We start from the raw sequence: 17,466 nt of genomic DNA, 5'->3' as shown, positions 1-17,466 counted from the left end.
CTCTAGACAGACAGGAGACAGGAAACAGGAAACTCAACTTGCAAAAAGACTGAATCTCAACTTGATTCAATTAGGCAGATACTGAGTTCCAGTATACTCCAGGACTATTCTAGGGGCTAGGATTCAACAGTGAATAAAACAGACAAAATCCTTTCCCTTGTACACTTATATCCTCTCAAAAAAGCTCCTTTCCCCTCTTTCTTATCAGGGTCTAATATAGTTAATAAGGACTTAAGACTGGAATATCACATCTAAATCCCCAATAATGAGCCCTCACCAATCTGCCAGGTCCCAGAGAAGCTAAAAACAATCAGGGCTGTTTGCAACTAACTGAAATAAAACTTGATTCGAACTCATGTCAAGCCTGTTGACAACACACACACATGTCCACGTGTCACTGCTGTGCATAGAAACCTCTGACTCACTACCATCTGAAGTCCAGGCTCCTTCACAGGTCATTCAAGGTCGACCTCTGCCCCCTCTGACCCCTGACATACAGAAATACAGGCATCATCCATGTAACAACCTTGGCAAGAAAACATTAACCAGGTGCCTCATTCCCATTATTTTAAGTGCGAAAAATTTTAATGCATTATGTCTCAACCCAAAATCTTCAACCAACTTCTTAAAACATAAAACATAGTAAAATGCCTGTATATAAGGAAAAAACACATTAGGGTGTAAAAATTTAAACAAAATATTTTGTATTTATTTATTTAATTGTAGTAAAATAAGGATATAAGATATTTAAAACAGTACTTCCTGATCACTCAGCAGTTAATATAATGGTTGCTTTGTCTGTATAACATGCTGCACGTCCCCTTAGTTAACATTCAGAGCCTTTCCGATTGTCTTCTGTGAACGCTGATTTGCTACTAATCATATGTGGAATAAACCTAAAGACTTTGTCCATTGACTCCCCTCATCACTTGGTTAAAGAATTTCTTATGTTTAGGGGACATAAATATTTTTACAATATAAATATTGGTGGGAAAGCATTGTATTGAGAGACACGTTCTATGAAGAAGAACTGTATGTGGAAAACATTTATTGTGGAGATGTTCAGGCCAGGCATGGTGGCTTATGCCTGTAATCCCAGCACTTTGGGAAGCTGAAGCAGGAGGATCACTTGAGTCCAGGAGTTCAAGACTAGCCTGGGCAACATAGCAAGATGTCTCTACAAAAAGAAAGAAAAGTAGCCAGGCGTGGTGGTGCACATCTGTAGTTCCAACTACTCAGGTGGCTGAGGTGGGAGGATCACCTGAGCCCAGGAGGTGAGGCTGCAATGAGCTCTGATTGTGCCACTTTGGGCAACAGTATGAGGCTGTTTAAAAAAAAAAAAAAAACAAAAAAAACAAAGAGATGATCTGTAAAGAATGCTAGCTCTTATTCTTCACAGAATATCCATGAATTTTCATACCTCTGTGCCTTGGTCCACACTATACCCTCTGTCTCAGTATCTTTTTTCTTTCCCACCCAACAAACTTGTAATTGCCCTTTAGATGTTTTCATTCACCATATCCTCCTTCTTTTTTTTTTTTTAGAGACAGGGTCTTGCTCTGTCACCCAGGCTGGAATGCAGTGGCGTGATCATTGCTCACTGCAGCCCTGAACTCCTGGGCTCAAGTGATTCCCCTGTTTCAGCCTCCCCAGTAGCTGGGGCTACAGGCACTTACTACCATGCCTAGTTAATATCTTTTAAAATTATTTTGTAGGGATGGGGTTTCACTATGTGACCTGGGTTGGTCTTAAACTTCTGGCCTCAAGTGATCCTCTCACTCTGGCCTCTCAAAGTGCTGGGATTACAAGTATGAGCCACCACACTGCCCTCTTTTTATTTTTATTTATTTATTTATTTATTCATTTATTATTTTTTTCGAGATGGAGTCTCACTTTGTCACCCAGCCTGGAGTGCAGTGGCATGATCTCGGCTCACTATAACCTCCACCTCCTGGGTTCCAGTGATTCTCCTGCCTCAGCCTCCCGAGTAACTGGGACTACAGGTGCATGCCACCACACCCAGCTAATTTTTATATTTTTAGTAGAGACAGTGTTTTACCATGTTGGTCAGGCTGGTCTTGAGCTCTTCACCTCAAGCAATCCACCTGCCTCAGCCTTCCAAAGTGCTGAGATTATAGGTGTGAGCCACCGTGCCCGGTCTTTTTATTTATTTATTCATTCATTTATTTATTTATTTTTTGAGACAGAGTGTCACTCTGTCACCCATGCTGGAGTGCAGTGGCATGGTCTCAGCTCACTGCAAGCTCCGCCTCCCAGGTTCATGCCATTCTCCTGCTTCAGCCTCCCTAGCAGCTGGGACTACAGGTGCCCACCACCACACCTGGCTAATTTTTTTGTATTTTTAGTAGAGATGGGGTTTCACCATGTTAGCCAGGATGGTCTCGAGCTCCTGACCTCATGATCTGCCCATCTCAGCCTCCCAAAGTGCTGGGATTACAGGCATGAGCCACCGTGCCTGGACTGTTTTTATTTTTTTAAGAGATAGAGTCTTGCTATGTTGTCCAGGCTGGACGCAAACTCTTGGGTTCAAGTGATCCTCCCATCTCACCCTCCTGAGTAATTGGAACTATAGGCAAGTGCCACCATGTCCAGCAGTTTTTTTAATCTCAATGTACCTGCCTGTGGCCAGCTGACCTACTGCTTTCATGGTCTCATATCATTGTGTACATTTACCATCAGGATCACGACATAGAGAGAGTAAAATGCACAGGCCTATAAATGTAACGAGCTGTTACAAAAGTTTCAAAGCCACAGGAAGGTTCTACCAGGTGCTTAGAATGTTTATTCCATTTATACAACAAAGAACTAGAAAAACAGTTCCAGAGTATAAAAGACTCAAGCCTAGGAGTCTCCATGTTTCACTTGTCCGATGGAAGTCCCATTCTTACCAAAGAATCATGGCAGATTTAGGTTTTCCTGGTGTCAGTATTAGCTCAGACCTCATATTTAACAATGTTTGAAAAGTTTGGGTATCTCCTATACTAGTGTGTACTTATCCTGATGAATGGCTCCAGATCGCTTTGGTAAAGGATTAAAGAAAGTTTACTGCATGTATATGTAGTGGGATTATAGAGTCCTCCTGTTCAATCAATGGACACTGGGTTTATGAATGCCTTAGATGTGGGAACTGGATGAAGAGCTTGCATTTCCACTGTGGTGGCTGATGTCAGCCCTTTACCACTTGATTACATATACATGCTAATTGATTATCAACGTTTCTTGTCTCTAGGAACACTTTAATTTCTTAGCCACCACAATAGATCCCTGAAGGTTAAGAGTCAAGGCACCCTGGTTGGCACCATGGCCTTGCTGTTTGTGGTGGTAATTATGTCCCCCTTGCCTCTAATGTTTAAGTGCTTCCAACCTGAGCTCTGCCATTCTAGGGATCTCATGTTGCCTATTGATATTAGGGAGTCCATGTCATTGGCAGCATCTTTCACCTTCAACCCAGCTTACAGGGGACATCCACCACCAATGTTTGCAATGATGCCTGCTTCTCTTCACTAGTGTATCTGTTGCTGTGTTAGTAAAAGGAGTATATTCTGTGTCCTCCAGGAACATACTCAGATAGTAGGTTCTCAGGCCAGATACAAAAAATCCATTTTAGTATTCCTGCTTCTCTGAGCTATCTGCTCTTTTCTTCAATACTATGGGAGGAAGTTCAGGTGTCTCCACTTCATATTCTGTACACCATCATCAGGATCAGGCTTCAAGGAGCCACTCCAGCAAACTATTAGGACTAACTCCAGTTGTTCTTGCGAAAACTTAATTCTGAGTCGTAAGTATACCCACACCAATAAATCCAATCCCATTCAACTCTATATTCTTCTGGACAAACAGCTGCAGGATGCACTCGATTCTGGATTCTGACAGTACATATTAGTAAACTCCTGCACACCTTACACTTCCCTGCCAAGACTGTATGTCAGCTGTGAAGCTATTGTCTCTCAGCTTCAAGCCCACTATACTATACTCTGCTGCAGCTGGGATTCTGCAAACCAATTTCTCCTTTGCCAGCTGCAACCCTGTTAGGATCTGTCAATGGAGGGTGTAGACTAGGAGGCTGGAGGAAGAAAAGGGGACTTTTTTCTTCCTGTTGCTTCCTATTCTTTGTTTTTGTTTCCTGTTCCTGTCCTCTTATATTCCTATTCCTAATCCTAATCCTAACATGAACCCTGGCAGCAGTAGTTGACTCTAGTAGCAACATTTGATTATAGTTTGCAGTTTTTCCACCATTCATAGAACCGACCTTAGCACACCTCATTTCCCTCTGAGACCCCAGCAACAGCCAATCAGCATCCCCTCAGAGGTCTGGATCCCATTCCCAAAGGACCCCTTTTCTGAGCTCAGGAACTGCACTGCATGCAGAGCAGTGTCCCCTCTACAGATGTCTGAGTTTCAGGTCCACAAAGCCCGTCCTCCAAATTTATAAGTTTTAATAATTTTCACCTGTTCCCTTTGCTTCCCAGACATAGAAGTGCTAGCTGCTTCCCACAATTGCCACCTCCTTGATACCTTATTGTTCCCTTTTTGCCTGCCTAGTTTTCCAATACCTGGCTAACAGTTCTTTATATTTAATTCTGCTTATTAAAATAACTGGTATAGTTTGTGTCTCCTGGTTGGTGCCTAGTTAACACAAGATGTTCTTAGATCTGACTTTAATTATTGGCCTTGAGGCAATAAGGGGTGTTGAGGGAGGGTTGTGGGCAGAACAAATGTCATCTTGTGAAGTATATGTTTCAAGTGAAATAGTTATTCTGTTTCCAGGCAAGGAGAAGTTAGTCTACTCTGGCAAGGGGGAAAGGTCTGCTTCTACCAGTTAAGGAGGGCTCAGAGAATTTGGAGGTTCAAGAGTTTTAGGTTTGTCCACCCAAATGTTTCTATCCCAGGTCTCATGGTCCCAGCCTTTCCTCATAAGAGCCCTGACTTTGACACAGAATGTGCAAAATCCACTCTTCTCCTTTGAAGCTCTTCAAAGGCTGCAAATAATCAGATCCTGAGCCTAATTTTCAGATCGGTTTGCCCTGCAGTTGCTGGAAATAAGAGTCTCCTCTAAAGTTGCCATGGGAGTTGTCGAGCATTCCGAGAATATGTTAAGTTAGAATTAGATTGCCATGAGCCTATCATTTTCTTTTGGTAAGGTCTTCAGTGCTGTCAGAAGAGTCATTGTACTCTGCAATCTTTATAATTACCATTGTTCTCATATAACCCTGTCATTTTATCTTTCATTGTCTTGCTGTCCACCTGCCCCTCATCTAAATTAACCAGAGCTAAAAGCTTAAGAAATTGCAAAGCCACTGCCTGCCAGAAGTTATTATCAACCTACTTATATTCAGCAATAGGTTCATATTATTTTAAAATAGTGAATAATCCAATGTCAATGTTCCATTTCCAAGTGTTTGTTACCTAAAATTACATCTGATACTAATTGTCATAGCCAGGTCTCTTCAGAAAGCAGAGCCTGAAGTCAGGCTCTGCTTGCCTTCTATGCCTGGAAATTAAGGGTGCTGTGTTGGTGTTGGTGCTGACAAAGAGACAGATAGGAGGCAGTGAGGGCAATCTGAGAAGGCACACAAATATGTATCCAATACAAACATAAATTTCCACAACTGATGCAAGAAGACATAGAAAAATCTAAACAGATCTAGAACCACTAAAGAAATTAAACCAGTCATTTAAAATCTTTCTTGAAAGAATACACCAAGTCCAGATAGTTTTCTAGGTGAGTCCTTCTAAAGTGTCAGGTCACATATAATTCCAAACATATATAAACTCTTATAGAAAATAAACAAAATGAGATATTTCCCAGCTCATTTTGTGAAGCTAATATGTAGCATACGAAAGTCAGAGGAGGAAAATATATGAAAGAAAAATTATGATCCCATACTCACTCATGAATGTGGACATAAACATTGTTATCAAAGTTTTATAAATCCAAATCCAGCATGTATAAAAAGACATTACATAACAACTAATGTAATGTCTTTCTTTCAGGAATATAAAATTAAGTGTCAGGAATATGAAATATTCCTTTATTTCAGGAATATAAAATTAAATGTCAGAAAATCTATTAATGTAATTTACCACATTAATCACTTTTTAAAGAGAAGAATCAGGCTGGGCACAGTGGCTCACGTCTGTAATCCCAGCACTTTGGGAGGCCGAGGCAGGTGGATCACCTGAGGTCAGGAGTTTGAGACCAGCCTGGACAACATGGTGAAACCCTGTCTCTACTAAAATTCCATAATTAGCTGGGCATGGTGGCGGGCACCTGTAATCCCAGCTACTCTGGAGGCTGAGGCAGAAGAATCGCTTGAACCTGGGAGGCGGAGGTTGCAGTGAGTTGAGATCGTGCCATTGCACTCCAGCCTGGGTGACAAGAGCGAAACTCAGTCTCAAAATACAAAACAAAAAAGAGAGAGAGAGAGAGAGAAGAATCACATGATGATATCAATGCAGAAAAAGCATTACTGAAATTTTACATTCATTTATTATAATTACTTTTTAACAAAGTCAAAATAGAAAGGAACTTTTTTAACCTGATAAACTTACAGAAAATACTGTGCTCAATGGTAATATGTTCAAATCATCTCTTTAAAAAAAGAATAATGCAAGAATACCTGCAGGACCACTCTGTGCACTGCACAATCCCAGGAAGCACCATTTACATCAGAGACATTATATATTTGAGTATGTATGACAATTTCATACCAGATAGAAGTATCTTTTTCCAATTTGCACAGAGGCTTTATATGATGTACTAGTGTCCCTGGAGACTAACTTTGTTTCCATTAAAAACTGACCAAAGGTCCCAGCCTTTGCAAAAAGATCATTCATATTAATAGAACTAATAAATATGAGGATTATAAAGGAAGAAACAAAAATCATATATATATTTGCAGATGATACACTATGATAAAAATGGAACTCAAAAACACGTAGAGTCAGTCAAATGATTATAAGGAATAAGAGAGTTCAGCAAGTTGCTGGATAAATATGCAAAATCAATTACAAATTATACATTACCAAAAAACAGATAATGTAATTTTAAAGAAGACATCATTACAAATAAGTATAAGCATTATTATAATACTTATAAGACTATAAAGTGCCAAAGGGTATGGGGGCACGTGCTTGTAATCTCAACTACTTGGGAAAGGCTAAGGCAGGAGGATCATTTGAGGCCAGAAGTTTGAGGCTGCACTCCAGCCTAGGCAACTGAGTAAGACCCCATCTCTCTCTCTCTAAAAGAAAAAAAAAAGAAATGTAAAGTGCCAAAGAATAAATCTAACAAAACATGGAAAACATTTAAAAACTTTATGAAAGATAGTAACAACAGCAAATGCAGAGACCTAGTATGTCCACGGATCAAGACTTGACACTGTAATTTGCAAACTGATTTATACATTTAATGTGACTCCTATCAAAATCCCAAGCATTTTTTTCATGATCATACTATGCTGATTCTAAAATGTACACGGGAAAATGAGAGTCCAAGAATAGCCAATACAATTCTAAAGAAGGAGCTGAAAATGGGAGAACGTGGCCGGGTGTGGTGGCTCACACCTGTAATCCTAGCACTTTGGGAGGCCAAGGTAGGCAGATTGTCTGAGCTCAGGAGTTCGAGACCACAATGCGCAATATTGCAAAACCCCATCTCTAGTAAAAATCCAAAAAAATTAGCTGGGCGTGGTGGCATACACCTTTAGTCCCAGCTACTTGGGAGGCTGAGGCATGAGAATCGCTTGAGCCGGGGAGGCAGAGGTTGCAGTGAGCTGAGGTTGCACCACTGCACTCCAGCCTGGGCAATAGAGTGAGACCCTGTCTCAAAAGCAAACAAACAAACAAAACAAAACAAAACAAAACCCAAATGGGAGAACTTGTCTTGCTAGATATCAAGCCTTAATAATTAAGTGTGGTTTTGACAAGGGGTTATAACAGTAGTTCCCAACAGAGGGTGATTCCCCAACCCCAAGGGAACATTTGGCAATTTGGGGTTGTCAGAATTGGAGGGGAAGGAGGGGATGCTACTGGCATCTACTGGGTAGAGGTCACGGATGCTGCTAAACATCCTACAGTACACACAACAGCCCTCCACAGCAGAATTCTCCCATCCAAAATGTCAGTAGTGGCAGGGTTGAGAAATCCTAGGGGTAGACAGATAGACCGGTGAAAAACTAATTTAAAAACAGAAAATATGACCTGGGAGTGGGCTTATCCAGCAGGAAACAGTAGGGACACTCATATTGAGTAACTTAAGGCAGTTTATTTAATAAAGGGACCATTATAAAAGAATAGAGTGTAGGGAAAACAAAGCCCTTGGCGACTGGTAACAGGAACTGCAACAGGAGAGGGACTATTTACTGAAACTCAGAGATACAGAGCACACAGAGATACAGAGCACTACAGCGATACAGAGCACTACATGCAGACGGCCAATTGGCAAGAGCTGGGACCTTAAGTCAAGGGACACAACCAGCTTGCAGCAACCTTGCAAGGAGAGAGCTAAGGGCATACATACCTTGCTTCACGCACCTCCTACCTTTTGATCACCTGTCAATGCTCCCATGGTCAAACCCAATGGGAACCTGTGGGCAAATAAGCTATTAATGTAGTTCATACTGGTCAGCCTCCCAGGACACAGAGGCTAAAAGGGGGTGGAGAGCAGATCTGGAGAGGCAAATAGGAGCTTTCCAGATGGAATGGAAGGATTTCATAAATAAAACCCCCAAAGAGCAGAGCACCAAGGAAAAGACTGATACATTCAATATTCATCAAATTTACCATAAGGAGAGTGAAAAGACAAACCGCAAGCTAGGACAAATATTTGTTTCATATATAAATGACTAAGGATTAGTTTCAAGAATGTCTAACAAAATCCTCTTAATCAGTAAGAAAAAGATAAATTACCCACTAGAAAAAAAAAAAGGTAAATGACATGAATAAGTATTTCTTAGAACAGGAAACACAAATGGCCAATAAACATATAAAGAGATGTTCAACCTTATTAGTAGTCAGGAAAATCCAAAATTAAACCACAGTGAGATAACATTTCACACCCACCAGACTGGCAGAAATTAAAAAGTCAGACATTACAATTCTTGCCCAGGATGTAAAGTAAAAGGAATTCTTACACATTGTCCACAAAAGAGTAAAATGGTACTTTTGAAATGTAGTTCTTAGTAAAAAATTGAACGTGCACGTACCTTATGACCCCGAATTTCAACCTAGTGCATATTCTAGGGAAATTCTTGCCCATGAACGTCAGGAGAGATAAACAACCACAATCATAGTAGACTGTTTTCTTAAATAAACTTATTTTAGGAAAACTTTCAGGTTTACAGAAAAATGGGGAAGATAGTACAGAAAGTTCCCACGTACTCCATATCCAATTTTCCCTATTCTTAACATCTTTCTTTTTTTTTTTTTTTTTTTTTAGACGGAGTGTCCCTCTGTCACTCAGGCTAGAGTGCGGTGGCACAATCTCAGCTCACTGCAATCTCTGCCTCCCGGGTTCAAGCAATTCTCTTGCCTCAACCTAGCTGGGATTACAGGCATCCGCCACCGTGCCCTGTTAATTTTTGTATTTTCATTTTTTAGTAGAGATGGGGTTTCACCATCTTGGCCAGGCTGGTCTCGAACTCCTGATCTCATGATCCACCACCTCGGCCTCCCAAAGTTCTGGGATTACAGGTGTGAGCCACAGCACCCAGTCCTTAACATCTTACATTAGTATGCTATACATGTCACATTAATGAATCAATATGGATGCATTATTGTTAACTAAAGTCCATATCTTATTCAGATTTCTTTAGTTTTACTTACTTTTTGCAGCATGTTCTTAACAACTAAAACTTTTAAAACCCCCAAAATGGGCCAAGAGCAGTGGCTCACGCCTGTAATTCCAGAACTTTGGGAGGCCGAGGTGGGCAGATCACCTGAGGTCAGGAGTTCGAGACCAGCCTGGCCAACATGGTGAAAGCCCGTCTCTACTAAAAATACAAAAAAAAAAAAAAATTAGCTAGGCATGGTGGCACATGCCTGTAATCCCAGTTACTCGGGAGGCTGAGGCAGGAGAATCACTTGAACACAGGAAGCAGAGGTTGCAGTGAGCCGAGGCGGCACCATTGCACTCCAGCCTGGGCAACAAGAACAAAACTCCATATCATAAAAAAAAAAAAAAAAATCTGCAAAATGTCCATCAGTAATAAAATAGATAAATAAATTATGGCTTACTCATTTAGAAGATTATAGTAAAGTAAATACAGTAAATAAATAAACTACAGTTATATGTATCAACATGGATGAGTCTGAAAACATTTTGTTGACCAGTAAAAGCAAATATTAAATAAATACATCCAACATGATTCCATTTATAAAGAGGGCAAAAATAGGAAAAATGAAATCATATATAATTAGAGGATATTTATATATATAATAAAACAAGAATAACAAATAAATGATTAACCAAAAAAATAAGGATAATGGTTCCCTTTGGTGGGGAGGGACATGGAAGCTGTTGGAGGGACACCTTCATGGGGAGAGGGAATGTTCCCTTCAGTTGGGTGGTGGACACATGGGTTTTTGTTATGTTTTAAACTATACATAGAGATTGTAATTTTTTTGTATGTATGATGTTTCATAATAATAATTTTAAAGGCTCTGATCCCTGCTCTTTTCTTTCCCCTTGAAAGCAGGTTGTCTAAATAGTCCTCATCCTCCAACATTCTGGCTTAAGGGAAAAGGTGACACTTTAGAGTCAGAGCAAACAGGAACCCCAGCCCTCTGTGCCCCAACCAAAGAAATGTGATTATGTCTCTTATCATCTTCTTCAAGCCCCACCACACATCATGATGCTTCCTGTTTCTCAGAAGCTGAAAAAGGTGCTGACATAATGTAATGAGTAGAATCGAGGCAGTATACACGGATCTACCCAGAGCCATGTGTGTCACCCGAGGGGCAGGTTGGACTCTCAGCTGTGGTTGGGAACATAGGCCAAATCTCTGCCTTTAGGTGGGAAATGACCCCAAATTTGAAGATTCATGGAGCAGGGTGACTCTTGCTGTTAAGAATGAGAGACTCACCGTCATCAGCCCCAAGAGATGCCTTCTGCAACAGCGAAAAGCCACCTCTTGGCAGATCCCTTTACGTGGGTACAGCTGGACTGGGCACTGGGATCCAGCTGGGGCCTGGGAAACTGCCACACTGGCACCCCCTATTCCTCCACAGTCATCCCTCACTTGTCTGTTCATTTGGTTGTTTATTCATTCACTCAGCAAATACTCACACAGCTGCAATGTGCCAGGCACTGTTCTAAGTATTGGTGGCACAGCAGGGAGCAGGACATAGCCCTGCTCTAGCAGCATCATACACATTTAGGAGGGTCAGACAACAAACAAATAAAACAACTATAAATTGTGGTAAGTGCCTTCAGTGCAAGTAGTAGAAGCAAAACAACCCAGTGTTAAGATGCTAAAGTCAGGCTACCTGGTTTTAAGTTCTGCTTCTACTGCTACCTGCCATTGGGCAAGTTAATTAATCTTTCTAGGAGTCAGTTTTCCTTTCTATAGATTGGAAGTGATCATCAAACCTACTGAATAGGATTGATTGAAGATTTATTCTTTCCAAAAATATTTATTGAGCACCACTATGTGCCAGGCACCATGCCAGGCACTAAGGATTAATAGTGAAGGTGACAGACAAGGTTCTGCCCTCCAGGAACATACATGATAGCAGAGGAAGAGTCACTGGACAAGCAAAGGCCATGTCGGATGTGATAAGGGCTAGGGACTAACGTGATCCAGGGAGATTCAGGAAGTGCCAGGGAGAGAGGGCCACTTTATATGTCTGACAAGGTGACATTTGAGAGCTAAATGATGAAAAGGAGCCATCTATGTGAAAGCCTGGGGGCTGGCGATAGTTAAACAGAGGGACAGCAAGTGTGAAAGTATAGTAGCAGGAATGAAGTTGGTGTGGTTGAAGAACAGCAGGAAGACAGATGGCTGGAGCACATTAGCAGGGAGGTAGGAGATGAGGCTAGGGAGGGAAGAGAGGGCTCATGCAGACTCATGCAGGCCAGAGAAAGGACTTTGCATTTCATTCTAGTAATGGGAAGTCCCTGAGGGTTTAAAGCAGAGGAGGGTCAGATGACTTACTTTTTTTTTTGAGACAGGGTCTCACTCTGTCATCCAGGCTGGATTGCAGTGGCACCATCACAGCTCACTGCAGCGTCAACCTCCTGGGCTCAGGTGATCCTCCCATCTCAGTCTCCTGGGTAGCTGGCACTATAGGCATGTGCCACCACGCCAGGCTAATTTTTGTATTTTTTGTAGAGATGGGATTTCTCCATGTTTCCTAGGCTGGTCTCAAACTTCTGGGCTCAAGCAATCTGCCTATGTTGGCCTCCCAAAGTGCTGGGATTACAGGTGTGTGCCACTGCACCCGGCAACTTACATTTTTAAAAGATCTCTAGCTTTTGTGTGGGCACAGATTAGGTTGTAATGTTCGACCAGAGAAACAAGTTAGGATGCTATTGCTCCATGGTGAGTGACATGGTTATACAGGGTGAATGGTGCAGGGTGGGCTGGAGGAGAAGACAGAATCCTACAGTGCAGGGCATTGTAGTGGGCATCTGATCTCTCTCTTCTCCCACCTCTATGCAGCTGCTTCTCTCTCCTCAGAATCCAGACCCAAATTTTACCTTCTGCTGGGAAAGCCTTCCTTCCCTATTTTTTGTTTGCAGGTGGCGGGGGCTCCCTGGACCTGGGATTCCCACGTTCTTCCTCCTAACTTGCTGCCTCGTGGCCCTAGACCCCTCTTGTGTAACACAGACATCAGTCAGGCTCTCTCAGGCTCCTAAGACCTGGACGACAGGCTCAAGCTCCTATTTGCTCACGTGCAAGTGGAAAGCTTTTGCCAGGGTGTTTGCAAGTTCCCTTGTGCATGACTGTGCATGACTAGCACTGACTCTCTCCTGATACAGCATGGTTAGATCTGTGTGTGGCTCATCAGGACATTCAAAAAGTAATGCCCCTGTTCTGCACCCCACAGAAGGCAGTCCTTTCCACTGAGTCCCATTCACACAGCCAAGCTGACCATCACCCGGATCTGCCTGTGGCAGAAGCAACTTCAAAGTGAGCGCTAGTGCTCCTATTCTTGAAGTCCTGTGGTCACGCTACAGTGATAGAACTTCTTCTTCTTCACCCCCTTTCCATTCTGTCTGCAGCTTTGTGCCATCTTGCCAGTTCCCCCTCTCTCTTCACCCAATTGCAGTTTATTTCTAATACACAGAGCAATTTCTGTAGCCCTTTTGTAACAATTCATTGCTCACCTATGGACCCAAGATCTCAGCTTCCTACCTCCCTCTAGTGGCTGATGCAGGTATTTCCAAAAAAAAAGTCCTAGAGCAGGATCCTGGCTGGCCACACGGCTGTCCAGTGCTGCTCCTGCCCACAAGGTTCTAAGAGGTTAAGGCTTGACATATCAGAAAAGGAAAGGAAGCCTGTGTGACACAGAAGCCTGGGTTGAGGGAGGCTACGCTCTGTGTACTGTCCCCGGGCAGAGGCGGTTTTCTGGGTCACCTGCATGTCCCAACACCGGCCTCTGGTGGTCGGCAGATGTTAATCCTAAAACCCTTCTGTCCCCACCTCAGAGGTGAAGTACCTGTGCACTAGCCTTCCCCGTCTGGGTCCCCCAAGGCCCCCACACTGGGCGCACAGGGTACAGGGAGGAGCCAAGCCCTCTGCTCCAGTTCTGCCTTCTGCGCAGGAGCCCTTTGACTTCTGGGAGTCAACCCCAGCTCACCCAACAAGGAGATAGGGCAGGTGGGAGACACCCTAAGCTCAGAAGGCCTACAGGAGATGGAGAGCACCCATCCTCCACCTCTACTCCTTCTCCAGACCACTCCACACCTCGCAGCTTCTTGCTCCTCACCCTCGCATTTGGCCCAGTGGGCACCAAGAACAAGACAGGGTGACTGGCTAAGCTGGGGCCAAACTCACTGACAGAATTGGAATTGTGTCAAAACACCACTTTTATGTCCTCACCTTTCAGGCCTGCATCAGTGTGAGCTCTGCAGAGAAAGGGGCCTGTCTTACTGAACCCTCAGATCCCAGCACGCTGCTGTCCTATGGAGGCATCCATGCATATCAGCAGCAGAATGAATGGATGGAGGGAGGAATGAATGTAATGAATGCTGCTCCTTCACTGCCACCTGCCTTCTCACCCTGCCCCTCGAGGGCAGAATACTATGGCTTTTCTTTTCTTCTTCTTCTTCTTCTTTTTTTTTTTTGATGAGGTCTTGTTCTGTTCCCAGGCTGGAGTGCAGCAGTGTGAACAGATGCATGGCTCACCGCATCCTCCACCTCCCAGACTCAAGTGATCCTCCTTCCTCAGCCTCCCAAGCAGCTGGGAACAAAAGTGTGTGCCACTATACCTGGCTAATTTTTTAGCTTTTGTAGAAGGGTCTCACTATGTTACCCAGGCTGGTCTCAAACTCCTGGCTTCAAGCCATCCTCCCACCTTGGCCTTCCAAAGTGTTGGGATTACAGGCGAGAGCCACTGTGCCTGGCTTGCTATGGCTTTTTAGAGTTTCTCACCCAATTACCTCCTCTACTCAATTTCTAGCTCCCATTTTTGGTTCCTCCATGGCCTTTGTCCCCCAAATCTGCCCTTGTTGTCAGAGCACTGGACTAGGAGTCAGGAGTACCAGGTTTGTCATCAGTTAGCCCTTTGTGTCTCATGGCCCCATCTGTAAACTGGAATGGGGTTTTCTCTTGATCTCAGGATGTAAGTGGGATGGAAAAGTGCCCAATCTCACTTAAGACTGTGGTTTCCTGACCCAGAGTTTCAGTTCTGTCTTTTCTTTTTCAGTATCAGGAGTGTTACATGCCTGTTATCCTAAACACACACTCACACTCATAAAGGTATAAAACTGAGTCCTCCCAGAAGTATTATCTGTCAGTTGGGTATCTGTTGTTATGTTACAGATGATTCCTTCACTCCTTACACCAACCCTGGCAGTTGGGTATGTGGATTACCCATGTGTATTAGTTCATTCTCACACTGCTATAAAGACATACCCAAGACTGGACAATTTATAAAGGAAAGAGGCTTAATTGACTCACAGTTACACATGGCTGGGGAGGCCTCAAGAAACAATCATGGAAGAAGCCAAGAGAGAAGCAAAGGCACGTCTTACATGGCAGCAGACCAGAGAGACCGCAAATGGGCGAAACTGGAACAGCCCCTTATAAAACCATCAGATCTCGTGAGAACTCACTTACTATCACGAGAACAGCATGGGGGAAACCTCCCTCTGATCCAATCACCTCCCACCAGGTTCCACCCTCCACAGGTGAGGATTATGGGAATTACAATTCAAGATGAGATTTGGGTGGGGGCACAGAGCCAAACCATATCACCATGTTTCATATGAAGAAAGTGGGAATTAGAGAGGCCAAGGAACTTGCCCAAGGTCACATGCTGGGAATGGTAGGCTGCGGTACCGCAGGAAGACATAAGATGAAATGCATGAAGAACATTCTGAAAAAAGTGAAATTTTCTCCAGTGCTTGGCTTTATCGTGAGCTGATCTTGTGATTTCTGTCACTCAGGCTGTGGATGCAAGTTAAAAAGCATCAGCTGTAACCAGTCACAGGAGGATTTCTGAGTTGGGCTGGGGTAGGGGAGAGAGATTTCTGCTTTGGGTCCCCATAGTTTCTGTAACTCTGGTTTAGTTTCCTTGTCACTGGATCCTGCATTCCTTGAGGGCAGCCATTGTATTTTATCTTTCAGCTTTACTAAAGTATATGAAAAGCCGGGCATGCTAAAGTGTACAATTCAATAAGTTTAGAATGTGTATTCACCTGTGAAACTATCAGAACAATCAAGATACTGAACACATTAATCACCTCCAAAATGTCCTCATGCCTTCCAGCAATCCCTTCTTCCCAGGCAATCACTGACCTCGTTTCCGTCACTATAGATTAGTTGGCATTTTCTAGAATTTTATAAAAATGGAATCATAGTCTAGTTTCTTTCTTTCTTTCTTTTCTTTTCTTTTCTTTTTTTTTTTTAAGAGTCTTGTTCTGTTGCCCAGGCTGGTGTGCAGTGGCGCAATGTTGGCTCACTGCAACCTCTGTCTCCCGGGTTCAAGCAATTGTCCTGCCTCAGCCTCCCGAGTATCTAGGATTACAGGCGCGTGCCACCATGCCTGGCTAATTTTTGTATTTTTAGTAGAGACAGGGTTTTGCCATGTTGTCTAGACTGGTCTCAAACCCCTGACCTCAGGTGATTAGCCTGCCTCGGCCTCCCAAAGTGCTGGGATTACAGGCGTGAGCCACCGTGCCCGGCCAGCCTGCCTTCATTGACTTGGAATAATTATTTTGAGACGTATCCATGTTGTTGCATATATCAAAACTTTATTCCTTATTTGGTTTATTATATTTTTAACATATAGTAAAAATAACATCCTTTGGTGAACAGTTCTACAAATGTATAGATTTGTGTAACCACCACAATCAAGATACAGGGCAGTTGCATTAACCCAAAAAACTCTCTCATGCTATCCCTTTGTAGTCCTACTTCCCTCTACCCAGTACCGCGACAACCACTGAACTGTTTTCCACGAATATAGTTTTGTTCTCTCAGGAATATCATATTAATGAGACTGACTTTTTTACTCATCATAATGACTTTGGAAGTCTCCCAAATTGTGTGCTTGCTCCTTTTTTGCTGAGTAGTATTCCAATGCATGGATGTATTACAATTTGTTTATCCATTGGTTGAATGATATTTGGGTTGCTTCCAGTATTTGACAATTAGGAATAGAGCTGCTATACACATTCTTACAGGTATTTGTGTTATCATATATTTTTATTTCTCTAAAATAAATACCTGGAGTAGGACTGCTGGATCACATAGTAAGTGTATGTTTATAAGAAACTGCCAAATTGTTTTCTAACGTGACTGCCAGCCTGGTGCGGTGGCTCACACCTGTAATCCCAGCACTTTGGGAGGCCGAGGCAGGTGGATCACCACTTTGAACTCAAGAGTTCAAGACCAGCCTGGGCAATACGGCAAAACTCCGCCTCTACAAAAAAATACAAAAATTAGCCAGGCATGGTGGTTCATGCCTGTGGTCCCAGCTACTCAGGACACTAAGGCTGGAGGATCCTTTGAGCCTGGGAAGTGGCAGCTGCAGTGAGCCAAGATCAGCCTGGCTAAGTGAGACTGTATCTCAAAAAAAAAAAAAAAAAAAAAAAAAGGGACTGCCATTTTGCATTTCCATCTGTAATGCGTGAGAGCTCCAGTTGCTCCATAGCCTTGGCCTTGCCAATATTTTTTATTTTAACCATTCTAATAGATGTGTAGTGGTATCTCATCATAGTTTTAGTTTGCATTTGCCTAACAGCTAATAATGTTGAAACATTTGCATTTAATGTAA

At 42.8% G+C, this 17,466-nt stretch overlaps 1 annotated feature.

Annotated features, from left to right (window-relative positions):
• Window positions 13,512–13,561: an enhancer, noted in NCBI's record as "active region_23087". NCBI's record gives its function as "activates an Ori minimal core promoter by ATAC-STARR-seq in GM12878 lymphoblastoid cells {active_cell/tissue: GM12878}" and the evidence as "EXISTENCE:reporter gene assay evidence [ECO:0000049][PMID:35858748]".

This window comes from Homo sapiens, chromosome 5 (genome assembly GCF_000001405.40).
Source record: "Homo sapiens chromosome 5, GRCh38.p14 Primary Assembly".
Taxonomy (NCBI): domain Eukaryota; kingdom Metazoa; phylum Chordata; class Mammalia; order Primates; family Hominidae; genus Homo; species Homo sapiens.
Note: the sequence above shows the minus strand (reverse complement) of the source record. Positions and strands in the feature narration are given on the sequence as shown.